General features: G+C 42.8%; 1 protein-coding gene across 28 annotated transcripts in view; it reads right to left on the bottom strand.

Moving 5' to 3' along the window:
• RAPGEF4 (Rap guanine nucleotide exchange factor 4) overlaps positions 1–20,649 on the bottom strand; it is a 317,576-nt gene that overhangs the window by 10,084 nt on the left and 286,843 nt on the right. For 18 of the 28 annotated variants that reach the window (XM_047443030.1, XM_006712205.4, NM_001375864.1 and 15 more), the window contains 6 exons: positions 16,113–16,238; positions 15,551–15,729; positions 12,556–12,646; positions 8,846–8,896; positions 6,598–6,685; positions 6,118–6,182 (listed from right to left, as the gene is read on the bottom strand). In XM_047443030.1, coding sequence (XP_047298986.1) covers positions 6,118–6,182; positions 6,598–6,685; positions 8,846–8,896; positions 12,556–12,646; positions 15,551–15,729; positions 16,113–16,238 — 600 coding nt within the window. Of the gene's footprint in view, positions 1–5,252; positions 5,865–6,117; positions 6,183–6,597; positions 6,686–8,845; positions 8,897–12,555; positions 12,647–15,550; positions 15,730–16,112; positions 16,239–20,649 lie in introns of those variants that run through there. The other 10 variants (NR_164739.1, NR_164740.1, XM_017003196.3 and 7 more) reach the window with 6 other exon arrangements.

The following is a 20,649-nucleotide window of genomic DNA, read 5'->3' as shown; positions in this document are numbered from 1 at the left end:
TGTATACCTCTATGTACTCAGGGAGGGACACTGGAGGACAGACACAGCACCACAGGGAGGAGGGGGGACAGAATAATGTCTGGTTAGGAACAGAGGCTAAGGGAAAGTCATCTTTTATAATGTCTCAGTTATGCAAAATGCTTTGGGACATTTTGGTTAATCCAATTTTCTTTCCCTTTTTTTTTTTGATTTGGAGTCTTACTCTATTGCCCAGGTTGGAGTGCAGTGGCACGATCTCGGCTCACTGCAACCTCTGCCACCTGGGTTCAAGCAATTCTCCTGCCTCAGCCTCCTGAATAGCTGGGATTACAGGCGCCCGCCACCATGCCTGGCTAATTTTTGTATTTTTAGTAGAGATGGGGTTTTACCAGGCTGGTCTTGAACTCCTGACCCCATGATCCACCCGCCTCAGTCTCCCAAAGTGCTGGGATTACAGGCGTGAGCCACTGTGCCCAGTTGATTCATCCAATTTTCTAATAAAATAGAAGACACTTTTGGATTTATTACATAAAATATTTGAAAAATGCTTTCGTGCACTAAGCCCAACACTGAAACATTACATTTTATTCAACAAGTACTTCTTGCATACTTACGATGTGCCAGACATTTTTATGGGTGCTGGGGAAATAATGCGTCAGATATTTTTATGGTGCTGGAGAAATATCAGTGAACAAAACAGATACCTGGGCCAGGGCACTTACATTCTGGTAGGGAAGACATTGAAGAGGCAGGAAGATAATCCCAGGCTGTGAAACCCCTATCAAGGCAAGGTTGTGTTGGAGAGTGCTGGGTGTCGCAGAACGGTGTTACACGGAGGTCAGGCACAGTTAGCACCACAGGGAGGAGGGGAGATCAGGGAAGATGTGTGATCTTCTTCCCTTCCCACAAGGGTGGTTAGGGAAGACTATTTTGGAGGAGGGGACCTGTGAGCTGAGGCCTGACTGACGAGGAACCAGACAGCAGACAACTGGGGGAAGACAATTTCAGGCAAAGGTAACAGCTAGTACAAAAAACCCTGAGGCCAAAAGGAGAAGAAGGCAGGTCAGTCTCACCAACTTGGACTGGATACAGAGAAGACAAAGTGTCAGATGAGGCTGGACAGGTGCTTAGGGCTAGTCTAGATCTTCTGATATTATGTCACTGCATATAATGTGGTTTTATTTTCCATTGATAAAACTGCATGAAGTTTTCTTTCCTGCATTTTGCTTTCTGACATCTTTTATTACTATTGTGACCTAGTTTTTATATCTTATGTGGATTTTTAATATTTCATGTGTTTATGTTTTCTCTTCCCAACTGCAGGTAATCTAAAGGCCCAGGGTTACTTTCTAGATGTTTATATTTCTTAGTAAATTCTTTTGCCTGGACACTCCACACATTATGTTGTTTTGAAGCATACCGTTTGGAAATCTGCATTTAGCCTGGCCTGGGAAATCTATACAAAGATGTAAACTCTCAAAGTACTCCCATAGATTTCTTTTGTGTTGGAGAGCTCTGGGAATAGGGTGGACTTGAACACGTAGATTTTTACTTAGAGATTCTTTTTTTCCATAGATTGAGGTAACAAGTGAAGTGCTCTCTCCATGAATCTTATAATAATATTATTGGTGATAGAAAACATATTGTTGCTAATTATGTAATGACATGCTTAGTGATACAAAAATAAAAGGATTCAAAACATTTCTCTTCCTTAATGAATTAGCTTCTGTAATGTTTACAGAAGTATAAAAGTTTGCCCTATGCTTCTCATTCCAAATAAAATGACTACCTTAAAAATCATATTTATAAATAAATATACCTAAATATGGGTATGTCTGAAATAGAACCAATCTCTTATCAGCATGCTTTATGCAGCCTGGGATAGTGGCAGGTGGCCAGCATATTATCCTCTAATCCATGCTAGTCTACCTCCTAAATGTTATAAATATTCATGTATGCCATAGAACTAGGAAGGACTTTATTCAAACATTTTTTTGAATATTCCTTTATGTTCCCCCCAAATAAAAGAATGTCTGCTTTTTTTGGCATCAGGATTAGGGTGTGAATTCTCTTTTGTTCATACCCATAAATCCTGAAAACCAATAAGCAACAAATTCTCTAATCCTTATTTCATACCTCAAGGGTGAAGATGTAGGAGATTGGTTCTATTTCAGAGAAATGTTTTGAATGAAGATGTACAAAATAAAAACACTTAGAGTTGGCATGGTGGTTTGCTGTGACTCTACAATGCTGCCACCAAGAAAAGGTATCTGTATTCCTGGCTACCCTGGTGACCTCGGCCCCTGGCAGGGGCTCCTTCTGGGGACCCAGCCCACCAGCCCCACAGAGGCTGCCAGCTCTGCTCAGCACCTGGGCCTTGACGATGGATGACTGGGAAGTGGCATTGACATCAACCTGAAAAGGAAAATGTAGCCTTTCCCAAGACCCACAGTAACAACAGCAGCCACTGATGGTAGTGGTGGTGATATGGGGGTAGGGGTGGGTTAGTTTATGGGGAGAAAATTTTGGAAACCTGGCAACATGCACCTTGCTTAGAAAACATAATCAAATCATTTTGAAATTTCATTTCATTTTCTGGTAACATCTAACTTGTGGAAGGACAATTCTTTTTTTTTTTTTTTGAGATGGAGTCTTGCTCTTGTCATCCAGGCTGGAGTGCAGTGGTGTGATCTCGGCTCACTGCAATCTCTGCCTCCCAGGTTCAAGCGATTCTCCTACCTCAGCCTCCCAAGTAGCTGGGATTACTGGTGCCCGCCATCAACCTGGCTAATTTTTGTATTTTTAGAGAGATGGAGTTTCACCATGTTGGCCAGGCTGGCCTTGAACTCCTGACCTCAGGCGATCTGCCCACCTCAGCCTCCCAAAGTGCTGGGATTACAGACATGAGCCACCACACCCAGCTGGAGGGCCAATTCTAAAATCAAACTTTCTTATGGTAGAATTTCTCACATGAGATAAAATGTATCATGTGGCTGGAACAGAGAACTTACAGTACTCTTTTGATATCCTTTCTTCCCTTCTCTTTCATATGAATAAAACCCCTTAACTTTCAGTGGGATATATGAATACTTCAAATAAGGGCTTCATGTTTTAGCCTTCCTTTCATGGGACTAGGTTTCTGAGCAACAAAATATGAGGCAAGTGGTGAGTGTAACTTCTTCCCTATCTTTAAAAGGGATGAAGCATGCCTTCACCTTCTCCTTTCCCTTTCCCTGTGGTTGGAGTGTGGAGGTGGAGGTTGCCATCTTGAACCAAGTGGATGTAAAACTGGCAAGAGAGAAGCCTGGGGCCCTGATCGCATCCTGTAGCAGGTCTACCATACCTGCTTGAACTTTTTTTTTTTTTTTGAGACAGAGTCTCGCTGTCTCCCAGGCTGGAGCGCAGTGGTGCAATCTCGGCTCACTGTAAGCTCCGCCCCCTGGGTTCATGCCATTCTCCTGCCTCAGCTTCCCGAGTAGCTGGGACTACAGGTGCCCGCCACCACACCCGGCTAATTTTTTTTTTTTTTGTATTTTTAGTAGAGACGGGGTTTCACTGTGTTCGTCAGGATGGTCTCGATCTCCTGACCTCGTGATCCACCCGCCTCGGCCTCCCAAAGTGCTGGGATTACAGGCGTGAGCCACCACACCTGGCCTGCTTGAACTTTTAAGTGAGAAAGAAATAAGCTGATCTTGCTTATGCCATCATTAATTTAGGTTTCCATTAATGAAGCTGAACTGCTGGCTATCGTAGCTATTCATTGCTTTTCAGCAAAAGTGGACTCTGTGAGAGCAAGATGGGAAGGATCTCTTTCCTTAGTGCTAGGCATGGAGGAATCCACTGCTCTGGGTATGAAGTGCAGAAATGGGGAGAGGAATGGCACTCTCCTAGTATCCACTGAATGTGACCTTGACTTTTCCTTGCAGGTTACGGATGGGACACCAAGATCTCAAAACTCAGATGAAACAACTTTTATCTACCCCAACAGATGGCTGGCTTTGCATACCTTGCTGTTCTTATTTGTTCAATTTAGTTAACTTTGGCCATCAAAACTTATTTTTAAAAATTTATTTTATTTTATTTTATTTTATGTTCCAGGATACATGTGCAGAATGTGCAGGTTTGTTACGTAGGTATACATGTGCCATTCTGGTTTGCTGCACCTATCAACCCGTCTAGGTTTTAAGCCCTGCATGCACTAGGTATTTGTCCTAATGCTCTCCCTCCCCTTGCTCCCCAACCTCCGACAGGCCCTGGTGTGTGATGTTCCCCTCCCTGTGTCCATGTGTTCTCATTGTTCAACTCCCACTTATGAGTGAGAACATGTGGTGTTTGGTTTTCTGTTCCTCTGTTTGCTGAGAATGATAGCCATCAAAACTTCTAAAGCTCAGTAAACTCTTTAGGAAACCCTGACTTCTACATCTCTGTGCACATGTATATTTTATAATTAAATGGGTGGCTTAGCCAATCCTCAGTTTGCATTTCTGCATAAGTAATCCAGAAGTTTCTTTACGCATTTGCCAAATCTTTCATTTCTGGAAAACAGGTTTTCTTTCTGGGAAGTCAGAGGAATTGTTTAATTATCCATACTAATAAGTTAGCAAAGAATGTTGTCTACTTTGATCAAACAATTATTAAATTGACACAGGAGTAAGATGTTCATACCCTGCCTTTGGTGTGAGGGGTGGGAAGGAAGACTGCTGAGGACATACTTGCCATCTAGTACAAAGAGTCTTTGAGGAGTGTGTACTCGTGTTACTTCCTAAGAAGCTTAAGACATAGTGCCCAGCAATAGCTGCACTTGACCAGACTGGGCTTTGCAATAAGCGCATTCCCCGGGCTGAATGCTGCAGATCCTTACAGGCTGACTGCAGGGTGTTTCAGATTCTCCTGGAGTCACACGTGCCAGCTTGATTTCAAGAAACAACTAGAATAACAGTTTTCTGATAAGAAGTCTATAGCACTTTATGGCTTACATAATCCAGAGATAGATGGGCTGGGCATGATTCCCATTTTCTGTTGGGGAAACCGACTCACAGAGAAGTTAAGGGACAAGTATAAAGTGATGAAACTGTGTACTGAACCTCATGTCTCCCAGACTCCAGGTCCCCGGCTTTTCTCACGGCGCCACATTCACACTGCAATTCATGACCGGGCAAATGCTCACCCACAGAGATATTAAGCACTCCAACACTCCATCCACCAGGTTGCAGCCAAAGGATTCAGAAGACAATGATCATTCCATCAGCATGCACTATGCAGCTAAAGAAAGGTTTTGGCATGCTCTGCTTTATTGTTTCACAGAAGATAAGAAAATAAACTGCAAAGTAACTTAAGCCAGATAACCTTGCTTTCCCCCCCGCTAGGAGTAAGGACTAGGAGGAGGGTGGCTAGAAAATACTGAATATGTGCCAGTTCCACATCTGTTGTGAAAAAAATTTTCTAGGCCAGGCGCAGTGGCTGATGCCTGTAATCCCAGCACCTAGGGAGGCTGAGGCAGGAAGAGCGCTTGAGCCCAGGAGTTTGAGGCTATAGTGAGGCTATGATCACAACACTGCACTTTAGCCAGGGTGACAATGAGAGACCCTGTCTCCAACAATAAGTAAATATATAAAAATGTTAAAAACAAGATTAAAAACTTTTTATTATAAAGGTTTTCATGTTCCTTCTCTGAACTTGAGCGAACTTTATTGGGGTAAGCAGTACACATTTAGATTAGTCCTCTATAATAAAGGCGTAGAATTGCCTTTTACCTACGGGCACTGAAGTCAGGCTTGGCAGATAAACCTTTCAAAGGCATCCTGGGGCAGTCTAGCTCCACAAACGTTATAGCAAAACAACAACATGGAAGTCACTCAGGAACATTTGTGCATTTCAGCAACAGGCTGCCAAGGAAGAAACACACGGCATAAAAGCCAGCTGCTGCTGTGAACCACCACACAAATACTATTCAATTTCACAAAAGAGAACTGACAGAATAGAATAGGTAGCCAATTTGAACCAAATATTTCAAAACTCCTTTATGTGTAACTACCTTTTTAGCAGGGCAGCATATATGGAAATTATTTCCTTTATTAGAAAAAATGCAAATTTTATTTTAAAAACACATTGTGGTTAAGGTTATAATACTGCACATACCATTTTTTCAAAGTTTACTAGATTGTCAATGAACGTCTTGTTCCCCTCATGAGTAAATGTCATATCTGTAAAGAAATAAAAGCCACATTCTAATCACTAATGGAAATATGTCATACTAAGAAAGCACAATAGCACCATTAGATTATGCTGGCAGATTTGCATAACACTACAGTTGAAAAAAGCTGTTAATAGTTCCTTTAATGCTAGGTGTTTAACTTTTTAAATCACTTCACCTGAGAGTAGTAAAATTTTTAAACTAATCTTCTGTTTCACTAACAAGTTTTCCAAATCATGGATCTCTGCTCCTCCAGTCATCTTTCTGACCCTTTCTGAACAGTCAGGACTGAGAGGAGATGACAAAGAAGGCAGAAGGATGGGATCGATCATTCTTCCCTAAGTAATCAATCTTATCAAGGTATTGTTCATTTCCCTCCCCAAATACTCATCACCTGCTTGGCCTGTGCATCTTATTAGGATTACCTTTAATGAGCAAAGGCATGAAGGGGATGAGAGGAGGTTCCAGCTTAGCTACTGTCAGCCTGTAGGCCCTGTGGTTCCTTGAAGGGTCCTTAGGAGAGAAAAAGAGATGATGGTAATGACTGGTGACAGATACACCACCCTTTGTTACCTCCTAATACACCTGCCTTTCACCCCACAATCAGGTACAGTTGACCTTTGAACAACACAGGTTTGAATTGTGTGGGTCACTTATACATGGCTTTTCTTCTGCCTCTGCCATCCCTGACACTGTAAGACCAACAACCCCTTCTCCTCCTCCTGAGCCTACTCAACAAGAAGAGGACAAGGATGAAGACCTTTATGATGATACACTTCCCTTTAATGAACAGTCAGTACATTTTCTCTTCCTTATAATTGTCTTATCATTTTTTCTCTAACTTACATTATTGTAAGAATATAGTACATAATAATACATATAACATACAAAATATGTGTTAGTTGACTTTATGTTATCAGTAAGGCCTCTAGTCAACAGTAGGCTATTAGTGGTTAAATTTGGGGAAAGTCAAAAGTTATGCTTGGGCTGGGCATGATTGGCTCATGCCTATAATCCCAGCACTTTTGGAGGCCAAGGCAGGAGTATCGCTTGAGCCTAGGAGTTCATGACCAGCTTGGGTAAAATAGTGAGACCCCAAGTGAGATCCCTTTTTTTTTTTTTTTTTGGAGACAGAGTCTCACTCTGTCACCCAGGCTGGAGTGCAGTGGCGCGATCTCCGCTCACTGCAAGCTCTGCCTCCCGAGTTCACGCCATTCTCCTGCCTCAGCCTCCCGAGTAGCTGGGACTACAGGTGCTTGCCACCAGGCCTGGCTAATTTTTTTGTATTTTTTTAGTAGAGACGGGGTTTCACCATGTTAGCCAGAATGGTCTTGATCTCCTGACCTCGTGATCTGCCCGCCTCGGCCTCCCAAAGTGCTGGGATTATAGGTGTGAGCCACCGTGCCTGGCCGAGACCCCTGTTTTTTAAAAAATAAAAAATTATTTGGGAGGCTATTTGGAAGGCTGAGGTCGGGGGATTGCTTGAGCCCAAGAGGTCAAGGCTGCAATGAGTCATGATTGCACCACTGCACTCCAGCCTTGGTGACAGAGTGAGACCCAGACTCAAAATAATAATAATAATAAAAAGTTATACTCAATATTTCTACTGCATGGGGGTGGAGGTGTTAGTGCCCCAACCCCTGAGTTATTCAAGGCTCAACTGTATTTCTGAATCAAATATAGCTACAAAAGAAAGGTAGACTTAGTTAAACAAATTGATTTGTATTTGTGTGTGTGTGTGTGTGTGTGTGTGTGTGTGTGTGTTGAGACGGGGTCGCACTCTGTCACCCAGGCTGGAGTGCAGTGGCCCAGTCACTACTCACTGTAGCCGCCACCTCCTGGCTCAAGCGATCTTCCCATCTCCGCCTCCTGAGTAGCTGGGACCACAGGTGTAGGCCACCACATCTGGCTAATTTTTGTATTTTTTGTAGAGATGGGGTTTCGTCATGTTGGCCAGGCTGGTCTCGAATTCCTGACCTCAAGTAATCCACCTTTCCTGGCCTCCCAAAGTGCTGGGATTACAGGTATGAACCACTGCGCCTGGCCTGATTTGTGTTTTAAAATAACTTCACTTATGGCATAAAAAATTTGGAGTTTTCTTTTCCCCTTCTTGTTTGAAAAAGAGATTTGCATACAGGGGCCAAGGGGAGATATTTCCTATGAAAGCAAAAATGAAACCTCTACTGCAAGATTCCCCTTTTCCTGAAGCCCCGTCTTCTTCCTGGGTGTCTGGCTCACTCACTCTCTGCCCTGCACAGCCGATCCCTGTCCCGATTTGCCCTCTGAAACCTGCCCATCACTCCCGGCGAGCCCAACTCACTCCTTTTCTGTCTAACACCTCCAGCCAACGGGGAAAAATAATCTTGGCAAGCCAAGGAAAATGCAGCTTCCAACCCATAGCCAACCTGAGCTGGATGGAGAGGACGCTATTACACTGCTTTTCTTAGTTATACAAATTGACCTTATGTGGGACATAAGTCCTCTTTAAGTTAGTTCCTGAGGGTGCCATTCATTAGTCAGACATGCTTGTTTTAGCAGCACTAAAAGGGATCATAAACTTCTTAAAGTCATATAAGGACAGATAAAATTTCCAAAATGAGAACTTCAATTCAGCTAATCAGAAATTGGATTAATGTAGACAGTGAACAGAATAAAGAAGCCACTGTCACTTACCATTAAACTTTCAAACTCCGCATAGAACTTCTTGAACTTGCTTGGCAGTTTCTGTTAATGAAATGAAAATGCCACACGCATATGTCAGATTCAATATCTAGATATGTATCATGGGTTACCATTTCTAGGGGAAATATATATCCATTGGCTCTTAATCAAACATCTCTGAGACAGGCCAGACTGTAATCTGTCTTGCCATTTGAGAATAATCTTCCAGAATATAGAGAACTTGCCTTTTAAACGTCTTTAACCTAACTGAACCAAAAGTAACTATGAATGCTTTGGTGTTACTGCTTTTATAATGTTTTCTGAACTAGACGATCTATAAAGAGGACTGCATTCCCTAGACTAGAAGAGTCTGAATATACCTCCCCCCACACTTTTTAAAACTCTCTGATTCCCACAATCAGGAATTTAGATTACAGAATATTAGCAATAAAAGAGCTTATGAAACTATCTCTTTCAACCCTCCTCCTCCCTTATAAGGTAAACTACATGAGAATAAGAATTTTTATTTGTTTTGTTTACTGATATTTTTCTCAGTGCCTAAAAAAGTACTGGGTACATAGTACTCCCTAAATATTCATTTGAATAGATTGAGCCTGTGTTTTACAGATGGAAAAAATTAAGTCTCACAGTTTCAATGACTGGCCCAGAGTCACACAGCTGCTTCTCATTAGAGCCTGTAATTCACATCCCCTGCCTCCTTTCCTGCTGTCTCGTCTCTCACATGCGCCATGCTTTTCTACATGAGCATTTATTTCTCCCACATGCCTTCCTATAATACAAAATTGGATAGTTCTATCAATTTACTGATTTCTCATGTTTTTATTTCGGCAAATGATTCAACACCACTTACTGCACCCACATATCTACACCAATAGATCAATACTGAATCATCTTTCAATTTATTGGTTCCTACTTTGCTTAGTTCCTGAGTCTTCAGTAAAGCTGAACCTTTCACTTCTCTCTCCTGACAGGGCTAAGCCAAGATAGAGCTGTGTGATACGTTTCCCATCCCAGGACTAGGAACTCATCAACCAACCCCTGGGTCTCAGAGACTCCTGGGTCATCTGGGAGGAGGCTTTGAACAGTGAAGCCTACCTTCAACAGTTGATTCACCAATTGGGCCTCTGCAATCCACAGAATGGCTCTTCTTGGCTCTTTCTCTTTCCTATCTCAGTTTGTCATATTCCCATTTAAACATCTGTAAAACCCCGATTTTGTTTCTAAAAACTAGTCCCTGTATATCCTCCAAACTCATTTTTCTGGCATTTCAAGTTAGGGTTCAGGAAGACTTGATGCCCTCACTTAGGGGAGACTATTCAAAGGGCTGAAAGCTGGGATGGGCATCAAGGGATGCCAGGATCTCACCCCACACAGAGTATCCAGATCACCAAGTTATGCAAAAACATTGACTTACTGAATTTAGTCCATTTAAAAAAATAAGAGTGGATTATGTTTTTGGCAAGACCTCTGTCATCTGTTCTCTTTCTTTACTTAGCTTTCTTTTAGGTCAAAGACAGTAGGGCACAGGGTAATAAAAAATGTTTCTTTCATTCTTAATACTATTATTTATCCACCCCCCCATGCTTCTAGAGCAGTGTTTTCAATAGGGCCATCCTGCCAATCCAGGAGGCATTTGGTAATGTGTGCAGACATTTTTTTGTTGTCACAGCCGGGGTGGGGCATGGTAAGAGGTGCTTCCAGCATCTGGTGGGGAGAGGCCAGGGATGCTCCTAATTGTCCTGCAACAGAGAAGACGTCTCCACGACCAAGAACTGTTCTGCTCCAGATGTCACCAGTGCTGAGGCTGAGAGAGTGTGTGTGCTCCAGGTAATTCTCATTTGCTTCATCTCAGCTTGATCTTCCCCCTCAGTTTTGAACCCTTCCCTTTATTGTGTGCTCTGGCTTTCCTTTCTATTTTATTCCGTGGCTGTTCCACACGTGTCCCCTAGTTCCATGAGGCCAGGCAGCATTTCTCACACTGCTCTTGTGGTCACTGTGGTGCTCAATGGAGTTGCATGGGAGGCTTTTGGGAGGTTTTCTCGGCAAGTGCAGGTACATAAACTAGAATCAAAGGTGCTTAGGAATGAAATCTCCCATACAGAATTATATAATTATACTTCACCTTAAAAAACAAAGGCTTATAAATGATGAAAGGATAATTTCCTCTTTTCAGCAACATTCAGTGCTGAAAACAGAAGCTCATAGACTCACAGAACTCCCATCCCTAGTGAAACCAAAGGACTGGCCAGTTAGCTATCTCCTTTTGCTGCCTGCACCCTCTTCAGCAGCCTCCTACTTTTTTATTTAGACTGGGAAAGAGGGTTCAGAGAGTGTTTCCCACATGCTCTGTTCTTATTGTCTGGCTGATCTGTGGTACCCACACCTGGCCTCCTTGGACCCTTTGAGGCTTTATGGTTTTTTAAAATGTCCCCAACCAACTAATTTGGACTCTGTGGCAGGGGGATTAGAAGCTGGTAGCTGACTGGGGAAGGCAGACTCTTTGCAGGAGGACCCTAGGTCTCCAGCAATCCCAAGAGCCTTGGACTATAAGACGAGGGAGTTGCATTATGGCTTTGTGCTTAGATCTCTTGGCAGCACGAGCTCCGTCCTTTTACTAGCTGGAAGATGATATAGCTGCATGGCACGCAGGCCTCACCAATTCCCTCATTCCTATATTCAGGGGATGAGCTGCTGTGTGCTGCATCTGCCTGGAATTTTAAGAGAAACCCAAGACAGAAGGACTTGTGAGGACCTGCCCTACAAACAATGGAAACATTTAGGAGGGACGGAAAAAGAAAATCATTGCAAGAAGGACATGGGGAAGAAAATAATTTCAGAAAAGCATTTAGAGATGCAAACAGCTGCCTTTAAGCACCATTGCAAGTTGGGTCTCTAATACATACTCCTTGCCCTCTTTCTGTGTCCCACTTACACACAATTTTTTATTTTTAGCATGAGTCTATTTCTGTATGTATGTTCTATTAGAGATTAGTATTTCTTCAACTATATGCCACGTGTAAGAGGTCAAGCACATTTTGAGTACAAAGCTAATAATAAATGAAGATGTTTTCTAGCTTGAATACCCAACTCTCGACAAACCATTCATTATATTTGCTACAGAGACTCACAACACACCTGCCTCACTTTTGCCCCAAACTGAATATTAGCCAACTGTTGTTCCTCTCCGTGGAGAGAAGTCTGCCAGGTGGTGAGGCGACACTTAGTACTCAACTGCTGCAAACAGTTGGCTTCCTGGCTCTTCCTTCCAGAAGCAAAATGAGTACTTGGATAAAAATGGATCTTCTGTCCTCTTTCAATTAAAGATAAGATTTATGGCAAAAGCAACAAGCAGACATTTCAGAAAACAATACAATCTATGAGCAAACTTATGAAGTCATTCCCAGCAATGTGGGTCCTTCATGTTATACTTAGGAACTGGACTTATTTTTATTTACATTGCATATATCAAGAAGTAGACATCTCCTCATCTCCCCCACTCTCCATACACAAAAGGACAATATCTTTTAAAAATTCTCCCTCTGAGGCAACTGGAAAAAGGAGACAGGTCACCTCCCTCCAAGTGTCCCACCTTTCCCATTGTTATACTAGTGTGAGTGATATTTCTATTAAAAAGCTCACTGGTGAGCCTGTGTTTTTATTCCTAAGGCAAAAGTCACAGCTGGATCCTAGCTGAAGCTTACCTCCCACGTTAGTGCCAAGCGGCTCACAGCAACGTTACTTAGTCCCATGACGATGGCAAAAAAGGAATTCAGATTTTTATACTCCTTACAGCTGAAACACAGGAGATGCGTGTTTGAGTAAAATGTTACTTCTGTGTGAGATAAAAAAAATTAGAGTTCTATTTTCTGATAGTCATTAATATTTGTCAGGGCTCATTTATGAGAACAGGCAATGATAGATTTAATGTACTGTAAAAGTTCCACTTGGGTGACCATGTTCTGCTGTTTGATTTCTCACTGTGTTTTTAGAAAGTTGAAGACGTTAGCCATTGAGGTTTGGGATCTGAGAAGGAACTTAAAGACACCTACCTTAGGGGTTGTTATTATAATCCCAAACTTGCTAAAAGCCTTGTTGGACCGAGAGGGAAATATCTCATGGGGTAAGAAAAAAAGTGAAGTGCCCTTGGAGATTTCTAGACCTTTAGCCTGAAGGTGGATATCCTCCTCTGGCAGCTTGAGAGGGCACTAAGGGAGTCTCACAGCTGCAGCCACCATGGCTTCTACCTGCCATGCAAATGCTACTTGTTTGTTGAAAAATATCAACTTATAAGGTGTGATCTCTATAGGCTGGGCACTCAATCTCAAGGAATTTTAAAGCTGAGAAGTAACCTAAACAACTGACCAAGAAATAACCTTCTCTGTGTTTTACTGACATCAATGAAGCTGATCATTTTGAATCTGTACTTACGCCATTATTAGCTTTTATGAATATATGTTTGGGAATGAGACATGTGGAAAAAAACAGAAATTCTTATTAGAATGGTGATGTTTAACACAGGTACTTGGTTTAACCATTTTTTAGAAAGAGAAACCCCAAACTTCTTCATACCAGGTCCCTGAAAAGGGAAAGAATTCATTTTGCAATACGCATAAATCCTTCATCCTGAATCAATATGGTTATCGAAATTGACCATATCATAATGAAATCCTGTTTGGATTAACATTTTTGAAAAAGACTAAATTGTTGCATTTGCTACCCATTGCAAAGGTAGCAAAGAGTAATTCTTAAATTGTCTGTGTGGAGATGGAGAACATATTTCAGAGAAGCTAGTGTGTATGGTCCCACTGGTGAGAAAGCAAGTGAGGCCTTTGGTGTGCTGGGACAATGGGTCTGAGTTCAGGAGCTGAAGGTTATTTAGAAGACACCTGGGGCTAAAGGCAGGTATACAATCGCATCTATGTGTTTGCCTCTGTCCTTTATGTGATCTTGAAAGAACAAATGCAGGGCTGTAGACCTGCCTTTCTAGTCACTGCCTTGTTATCAGCTAACTTTATTACCCTATGTAAGTCATGAAATTTCTCTATGCCTCCACGAATGTAAACAGAGGAATAAGAACATCTGCTTCCACCAACTTCACACAGTTCTGGGCAGGCAAAGAGCTTAAAACAAATATGTTGAAGTTCTCTAAAAATATAAAGTAAAACAGATGCTACTGTCACGAGGTTTCAACCTCATTCTTGTAGATCTCGGATTTAAAAAGTCTACAGTCTTCTTCAGCTGGGCTGTGTAAATAGCTTCTCTACAGGACGGCAAATGTAGCACAGGGCTTAATAATGGTTAAATAACATAAACTAATTTATACTGAAGGCCAAGTCCACCTACTCATTCACCTAAACAGAAGGGAGAGGGATAAGAAAAGCAAAAATATATATATATAAAAAAAAGTCCTGGGTGTTCTGAAAGGCTCTCCCATGTTGCCTCTGTAAAATAACAGGATCAGGCCCCAAAAGATTTTCTGGCTTCCCACATTTGTGTGCAGATTGCCTCTCTCTTCTTGTTGCATTGGGCACTGCCAGGCTAAGGTGAAGAGAGAGAGTGTGCTTCTTCTAACGGGAAAGCACATCTTGTCATAGTTTCCATAATCAGCTCATTCCAAATATGTGAAGGCATTTGTCCCTTGCCATAAGGCTGTGCAGACTACCAGGGAAGTGGCTATACTCTGAACCAGAAATTCACAGGCACCATTTTACCAAGCCTTTCTTAAAATAGCCAGCTTTGCCATATTAACAGATAGCAGCTTTTGAATCCAAGGGATTTGGTATTCTATTGAACCCTCAAGTTGTTGGCAAATAATTCCAGGCATCTGGCAAACTGATATCTATAAAATGTCAAGCAGCCTTTACTTCTTTGTTTAGCCCAGGAAATCAAACTCCATGTTTGATTTTGGGTCAAGAAAATTGTCTAGCTGGGGTCACTTGTGCTCTCAGCCTTCCTGTGTGCTAGAGCTCCCTGCATTTAGAAAGGAAAGAAGTCTCACAGCCATAGGCCACATTTAGCATTTTATTTTTAGCACTGTGGTGATACCAAAAACATGGAAGTAAACAGGAGGTTGTCAGGCATATCTAAATAGCAGGAGAAGATTAAATTCATGTCAGGGAGAACTCTAACTGGCCCCTGTAGTAAAAAAATTGTTTCCCATGAAGTGCTGTTTAATAGAATATTTATAAGATAGATGCTTCTTTTTCTGATGTTTGTAGTGATGATTTTCATGTACCAGGTTAGCTCGCATGCATTTTACCGATTTAATTCTGTCTGGGCTGGATGTGCTGCTGTACATGCATGCTGCACTGCCCTCTACTGGTGAGAATGTGTCATGCTGGACATTGACTTCAAGATCTTTTCAACTGAACTTTCGAAGTATAAGGGAACTTGGTTTACGGAAGGAATTTTAAACTAAAGGAGGCAAAACCGTCTGAGTAGAAAGCAAAGAGCAAAGAGAGGTCACAACTTCGACTCCAGCATCAGTGCTGTAAAGAAGTTAATTTATCTATTGATGTTAAATGCTACAAAATATAGGAGAGATCCATTACAAGAGTTTGGTTATTCCTAAGACCCTGTGTTTGGCCCTCTAGCAGTTCCTAGATCCTGCTTTTCTTTTTAAGGTGTAGTCTAAGAAAACAAAATGAAAACACAGCTCAACATTTTTTTTTCTCTTTCCAAGCTAAATATACTTACTGGGCTGCTATCTTAATAAATTTTTTTAATAGCTGAACACGCTTGCTGAGCTGAGAACAAAGGCAGATCTCAGTGACGACCCAAAACTGAATTTCATTAAATCTCCTCAGGAACAAATCCAAGTTTGCTGTGGTCTTTTTAAAATTATGCCTTCCAAATGTGTGATAGATTAGCTCCAGCTAGAAAATAAAGGAAAACAATTTTGCTTATTTTTTTTTAAATCAAAACACCAGCAGGTTTCTCTATTTGTCAAGACAGTGTTTTACTGGTCAGCAAATGTGAAGTCAATCAGACTTGAAGGGCTTCCATGAGGTTTGTTAAATATATAAATATAAACTAGGTTTTACTGGCTTAATATACACAGGAAGACACGGCATACTGTAAAGATTTTTCTTTAATACTCAAAGGCTTTATAGCATGCTTTATTTATAAGCTCAGTATGCAAAAAAATGGTCATGTGGTTTCCATATTGTAGCACATATTAGCACTTACAAACTAAGCAATGCCAGCAGCCTTTATCCTTGCTATCTCAGCTACTAACACATCTGATCCTGCATCTTACCTCATGCACGCAGTTGAAGAGTTCCCAATCATAAATTGTCATCTGGTATGCTAAATCTTTGGAGCTCATCAGTTCAAAAGTTCCCACTGTTCCAACAGTTGGGCCTTCCTGTTCTGGTAAGGGAGTCTATGAATAATAATGCAAAAACATATCAGAAACTCAACACAGACAAGTATTTAGCACTAAAAGCTTTCAGGAGTTTCTGAGGGGAAAGGATTCTGGAGATGGACGCTTTCAGGAATATCTGGAAACTCTGAGGAGAGATGCCTCTGCTCGCAACGCTAGTTGCTTTAGTGTCGTCTGTAAGTCACCAATCATCATTACCATCAATTCCACTGACTGAAAAATGTGAACCGCGGCAAATAAGATTCAGTGAAGAGTGACCTGCAGAGGTTCTCTTCTCTCACACTCAGGCCTGGGAGGTCCCTGGAAACTCTTCTTTTCCCTGGTAAAAATGGAAGAAGTCCTGGGAGACCTTTTTTCTCCTATTTCTCACTGAAGCTGCTGTAAAGCAGGTAACGGCATGGCAGTTTGGGACGTTCATCCACAGTGCTACTTCCTGCTGCCGGTGGCCATGGTAACACTGCTGCCTCTCCATCTCTTGGGACACACTGCCTGGGGTCATGAGGGAATGGAAAGCTCTGTGAACTGAGGTTACACATGATGTCTGATCCCTCTACTCTTGGGCAGATGTTGAGCTGAGGATGTTATTCGCATGGTTATGGTGTTTTGGGCTAGACATTAGAAAGCCAACGTCTGCTACTTTCTGGAAGACCCCTCACTAAAAGTTTCCATCTGACTTGCTTATCTCAGTTTTATTTTATGAGAAATGATCTAAAGTGTTTTTACTTAGTGAGATGAATGATATGCATATATAGGAAGCACACGTATAATGCAATAGATTTATATATAAATAGGCAACACACACATTACAAAGTTCCAAAAGTCACAAAAGTGGCTGGCACAGTGGCTCACGCCTGTAATCCCAGCACTCTGGGAGGCCAAGGCGGGTGGATCACCTGAGGTCAGTAGTTCAAGACAAGCCTGGCCAACATGGCGAAACCCTGTCTCTACTGAAAATACAAAAATTAGCTGGGCGTAGTGGCATGTACCTGTAGTGCCAGCTACTCGGGAGGCTGAGGCAGGAGAATCGCTTAAACCCAGGAGGCAGAGGTTGCAGTGAGCCGAGATCGTGCCACTGCACCCCAGCCTGGGCGACAGAATGAGACTCCATCTCCAAAAAAATAAAATAAAATAAAAAATAAAAACAAAATGATGCTAACTATATTTAGATACTATCCATGTCAGAAGTCCTAATATTATACAAGTTCCATCATCATTTTCATCATCATCACTGTATTCTACAAACTCCCACTGCATTCTGGGCACTAGAGAAATTACATGTTCTGCAGGTAGACGGTGCTTGCATTTGGAAGTTTACAGTCTAAGAGAGGACCAAGCAAGGTTACAGTTGAAGGGAATCAACCCTGTCTGGCCCATACAGCACTCCACAGAGGCAGCATCTGCTGCTGGTCCTTATTTGCAGGTATAAAGGGACAGAAGCAACAACACATGTGACACCCAGGTACAGAGATAAACAGGAGGGGAACATGAATGAATTTTTGGGAAGTTATTGGGTATTTGGAATGAATGTGTGGTCTGAACAGGATCTTGAAGAAGCTGGGCTTTAAAAGATGAAGCAGACAAGCTTGGGCAGGTGAGAATAGCAAGGTTTTCCCTGAGCATCCAGGATGGTCCCTTGGGGTGGAAGGATGGCAACAAGAGCATGAAGATGGGGAAGCTGTCATGAAACTTGCTTGGCAGGAGCAGAGAGCACAGGGGGTCCCCATGGACAGTGTGAACAGTTAGTAGCACATCTTCGTGTACCAGATTAGGAGTTTGTGTTTTGTAATAGACTAGATAATAGACCAGGTTAGTGTCAGCTTTAGAGAGCAAGTGACTCTGAATATAAACCCTACTCTAACTGTGTAGACTTGGATTGATTCCCTAATCTCTTGAGTGTCTGTTTCCAGCTCTGGTAAATTGGGGTCATGATACCTATACCTAGGCTTGTTAAGAGAACTGGATAGGAGTGATTTCAGTGAATCATGTAAATACAGTGCCTGGCACAAAAGAGGTCCCCTCCCCCAAATCAGTTCACTTTCTAGAAGTGCTGCAGCAGGCCGGGCGCGGTGGCTCACGCCTGTAATCCCAGCACTTTGGGAGGCCGAGGCGGGCGGATCACGAGGTCAGGAGATCGAGACCATCCTGGCTAAAACGGTGAAACCCCGTCTCTACTAAAAATACAAAAAATTAGCCGGGCGTAGTGGCGGGCGCCTGTAGTCCCAGCTACTTGGGAGGCTGAGGCAGGAGAATGGCGTGAACCCGGGAGGCGGAGCTTGCAGTGAGCCGAGATCCCGCCACTGCACTCCAGCCTGGGCGACAGAGCGAGACTCCGTCTCAAAAAAAAAAAAAAAAATAATAAAAAAAAGAAGTGCTGTAGCAATGCAAATACACAGAAAAGTGTGATCAGTACAACACCTGGATGTAGGAGCGAAATACTGTTGCTCCCAATTTACTCTACACAGGGGACAGAGGACAGGGAAGAAAAGTGATTCCAAAGTTTTAAATCTTAGGGAACTGAACCGAAGCTGATGGGCAAGTAGCATATGGAAACAAATGAGGAGAATGATTTCAACCAGGGTAGGTCCTAGGTAAAAAAAGTTGGGGAAGCTTATACATTTTAGGGTTTACGACTGCCTCTCAGAGGATCAAACTGGCCTTGCACGTTCTTCCTTCCCTCTTGCAGCTGCTGTGAACACAGCCCTTCTGCTGCTCTGCGGAGCTGCCCCTCCTACGTTATTCCTGCTGTTTGCTCTCTCCTCAGGATTGGAGATACCCAGTACACCTTGCTCCTTCTTTTCCTTGAGGCTTTATAACTTTACATAAGGGGGACAAGTTTACCTAACAACACAGGGAAGAGTCTAATATTAAGAAATATGCAAAGTTCTTTTAGTCGTGGATGCTGGTCTATCACTCCTGCAACCCTTTTGAGAGTAACGGAAAGCTCTGTTGAGTCTCAACTTTTCTTTCAGTGGGCAGGGCTCACCAAGTCTCTCTCCCGGCGTAGGGCAGGTTGACCCCTTCCATGAGCCACGGAAGAGGCAATGTGAGCAGCAAAAGGTGCTTCTCCCTTAGAAGTGGGGAATATAAATGCTCACCCTGGACCCCAGAGGAAGCGCCTCCTTGGGCCATTTTCTTGTACATAGCCCTGTGGAAATGTCCTACAGATAAGGCACAGCAGAGCTTATGTGGAGCCTGCATCGCACAGACAGATCTGAAAGCTGCTTACCCACAGACACAGAACTCCCATGCATTTTCTCCCCACGGTTTTTGAGCCATGATTTCTTTGCTAAGGCTGGAGAGGGGTAATTGGGAGAGTAGCATTGTTATCCTCCCATTTTCCAGATGAGGAGACTAAGACATAAAAGGGATGTGTGGATTGTCAGTGACAAAGAGATGGTGAAGGTAAGCTACCCGGAGCATCTTCCTTTCCTCGTGTGCCCACACCCTCTGTGTCTAGCTCTGCTATGGCCCTTGCTGCACTGCATTCTCACTGGTCACATGCGGGGGTGCCTCACTACACTGTTTGCTCACTGAGGTACAAGGACCATGATGGTTTTGTCTTCAAGACCATTTTAGAGCCAGAACCATCTACAATGCCTGCGATGATGTGGTAGGTACTAAATAAAAGTCTGAGGAACCAGTGAATGGACAAAAGTAGAATCACATTATACTACAATGGAGTTTTATAGGAATTTGCTCTGTACTGATATTTATACTTAAATAAAATGTGAAGAGTAAAGTTTCAGAATCTGAACCCTTAACCACTAGGCTAACTTGCCAGCACTCTACTGATTCTATTATAGACCACACAATTTAAGGCTAACATTGAACACTAAGACTTGTTCTATTCCAGGCTGCTTGTGTTAGTCTCATCTCTCTGGCTTTAGCGTAACTGCGGTAAGGACAGAGGCTCTGGGGCACTTGGTTTAGTGTCTCACAGAAGCCAGCACAGCCCCAAGCACAGAGCAGACCCTGCAGAAGCATGTGTGGATGGATCAGAGAGTGTGGCCAACATTCTCTACTGCAGGGTCATCCTCTGTGCGACTCCTCCTCGATGGGCTGTCCTCAAAGGGAATCTTTAGAAAGCCAGAGAAGGAGCTCATTGTCCACAGTTATGTGAGGCAGGTAAGGTTTGGCCACTCACAGCACAATGAATGGCAGAGCGCTGATAGGGAAGAAGTTCATGCCCAGGGTACTCAATGCAGAGGACATTCCTTCCAACGACAGAGGCCTTAAAACAGAGGACGAGCAAGGACTAAGAACTTGGAAGGCTGCAGGACTGTGTGCCAACAAACAGAGGTTTAGAAAGTTAGTATCTGCCCCACAGGGAGCTGAAGACAGTCTGCACTCCCTGTGTCTGCGCCATGTCATTTGGCACTGCGGCCAAGAACCCTCTGGCAAGAGAGTCCCC

Source organism: Homo sapiens, chromosome 2 (assembly GCF_000001405.40).
Source record: "Homo sapiens chromosome 2, GRCh38.p14 Primary Assembly".
NCBI lineage: Eukaryota > Metazoa > Chordata > Mammalia > Primates > Hominidae > Homo > Homo sapiens.
This window is presented reverse-complemented; position numbering and strand designations above follow the sequence as displayed.